General features: G+C 43.8%; 1 annotated feature.

Annotated features, from left to right (window-relative positions):
• Nucleotides 2043-2222: an enhancer, noted in NCBI's record as "active region_19554". NCBI's record gives its function as "activates an Ori minimal core promoter by ATAC-STARR-seq in GM12878 lymphoblastoid cells {active_cell/tissue: GM12878}" and the evidence as "EXISTENCE:reporter gene assay evidence [ECO:0000049][PMID:35858748]".

Raw genomic sequence — 2549 nt, 5'->3', positions numbered from 1 at the left:
CATGGAGCAGAGCACAGGCTCAGGGCCAGGCTATCTAGGTTTGAATCCTGGACCCAGACTTTCTCATTGTGTGATTTTAAGCAAGTCACTTAACTACTCTGTATCATCTGTAACTTGGGAATAATAAGAATACCCATTCAGCGGAATTGCTATGAAGATTTAGTAAGTTAATGCAATCAAAGGCTTAGGACAGCGCCAGGCGCACAGTAAGTGCTCTAAATGCCACTGTTATGATTTGTATCTCCTCTACTTGAATACATGTCAATTGGCCCCATTGCTCTGTGAAGTTACTTCCCCACTTCCTTCTTTGATCTTAGTGACCAGGTCACTCTCCAACTCAAAATCCTTCAATGGCTCCCCATTGTTTACCCAATAAGATGAGATCACATTAGCTTGGGCTTCAAGGCCTGCCTCTTCCTATATGTGGATTGCTTCCTCCCTCCTTTCCTGCCTGACCCATCCATACCCACCCTTCAAGGCCCAGTTTCCATGATATCTCATACAAAAAAACCTTCTATGATCACCCCCTCAGAAATCCCTGCTTCCTTTTTGGAGCCCATACTTCTGTCCTGCATGGTTCCACCTCACTGTCCTGCACATCTCAAGAACAACCATCTATTATGTGCTTGTTTCCTTGTCTAGCATCCACTAACTGTCTTCTTCTCCCCCTAGTGCTACTTCTACAGCCAGACTGTATTGAGTGTTCAATAGGTGCTAAGTGTTGAGGTACATCCATCATCTCAGCCAATTCCTGTGAAAACCATGAGAATCATTATCCACATTTTACAGATGAGCTAGCTTCATAATTTACAAAAAGTCACACAGTTAGTAAATGACAGAGCCCAGACTTGAATCCAGGTCTGGCTGACTGCAAAGCTTGTACCTTAGCCACCATGCTACACAGCTGCTTCTCTGACTTTGTATCTTCCCCAGCCCTAATTTTAAAAGAAAACTGTGCTGCTGAGCACTTCGGCAGGTACTTAGGAACAATAATAATGAAATACGGATAATAATAACAGCTAATTTGAGTGCTTACTATGTGCCAGGTAACTTTCAAAGCACTTTACTTCTATTAACAAATGCAATCCTCACAACAAGCATTTGAAGTAGTTACAATTATTATTCCCACTTTATAGATGAGGCACAAAAGGGTTAAATAACTTGCTCAGGGTCACACGCTACAAGTGGCAGAGCTGGGATGCAAACTCAGGAAGTCTAGCCTCAGAGTCCAGGCTTGTAACTGTCATGCTGTCTCCCAGCATGTCTATTTTGAATGAATAAATGAATGAATGAATTTAAGGGGAAGGATAAAGAAAAAGAATCACATCATTGGAAATGGGGATTTAATGAATTTGTACTTTGTAGAGACCCCCTAAACCAGATAACAGGAGCTGAACTGTGACACTCAGCCACATATCCTCTTCCGTGGATGGGCAGGTCAGAAGATAAGGGCAAAGTACCAGGGAACTTGGAAGGGAGCAAGAGCCATCCAGGCAGGACCTGGTGGCACCTCCCTGCTGCCTCCATCCACAATGCCATGGAGACTCACTGAAGTGACGCTGGGCTCTTGGCTTCTCCAGTGTGAAAATCCAGACGGGACTGCACACCTGCTGCCCAGCTCGGCCTCTGTGTCAGGAACACCAGCCCTGGGTGCCATGGAGAATCTTGTGAGCATGGGCTAGTGTGCCCACATAGGCAAGTGTCCATGCAACCTCCAGGAACCTGCCCAAGGCATTTGCAGTCAAAATGACCACTTGGCAGGGAGGGGCTAGCTAAACACTTCTCTTGGGCTTCATTCAGGAATGGAGCAAATCTGCACATGAAGAGATTGAAAGAATAAACAGAAGCCCCTGCTTTCCTATCCTAGTGCTGATTCTGGATTCTTTAACTGAAACAAATACTCATAGTTCCGGTTATCTTACTGACACCCATGAAAACTGCTTGCTTTGCTGATGTTAAAGCATCTTGTCCTTTCCTTATCAGAATACTTATGTCTTGTCACTGTCATTGTTCTTTTAATGGTCATTTACTGGCAAATAATTAGTAAGCTCCCTAAGAACAAGAATCATGCCTGCTTGCTCATCTCTGTGTGCCCAGGGCTTACCTGCAGATATTCAAACATCTGCTGAGTAAATTCATGAGCAAAAATGAGTAAGTGATCATGTCAACTGATGTCAACAGACCAGCTCACTGATATCCAGGTTTTCTCTCTGAAATTCTTGGTTCCCCTAGTGGCTAGGTGGGATTATATGACTTGTTCTGACCAATGGGTTGTTAATGAAGATGACATGTCATTTCTGATCTGGGGCACCAATTGGTGGTTCAAGACCCACAGAACTTTCTTTACCTCTGCCAGAGTGATTGACAATTTTCCAGATGGTGGGTTCTTTCTCAACCTAGGTCCTGCATTGGACATGTAATATGACTGAGAAATAGACCTTTGTTGTTTGAAGCCACCAAGGTTTGGAAGTTGTTACTGCAGCAAAACTTAGGCTATCCTGACTAATAGATATTCAGTTTAGACAAGATTTTCAGGGATCTACAGAACA

This window comes from Homo sapiens, chromosome 3 (assembly GCF_000001405.40).
Source record: "Homo sapiens chromosome 3, GRCh38.p14 Primary Assembly".
In the NCBI taxonomy this organism is placed as follows: domain Eukaryota; kingdom Metazoa; phylum Chordata; class Mammalia; order Primates; family Hominidae; genus Homo; species Homo sapiens.
Note: the sequence above shows the minus strand (reverse complement) of the source record. Positions and strands in the feature narration are given on the sequence as shown.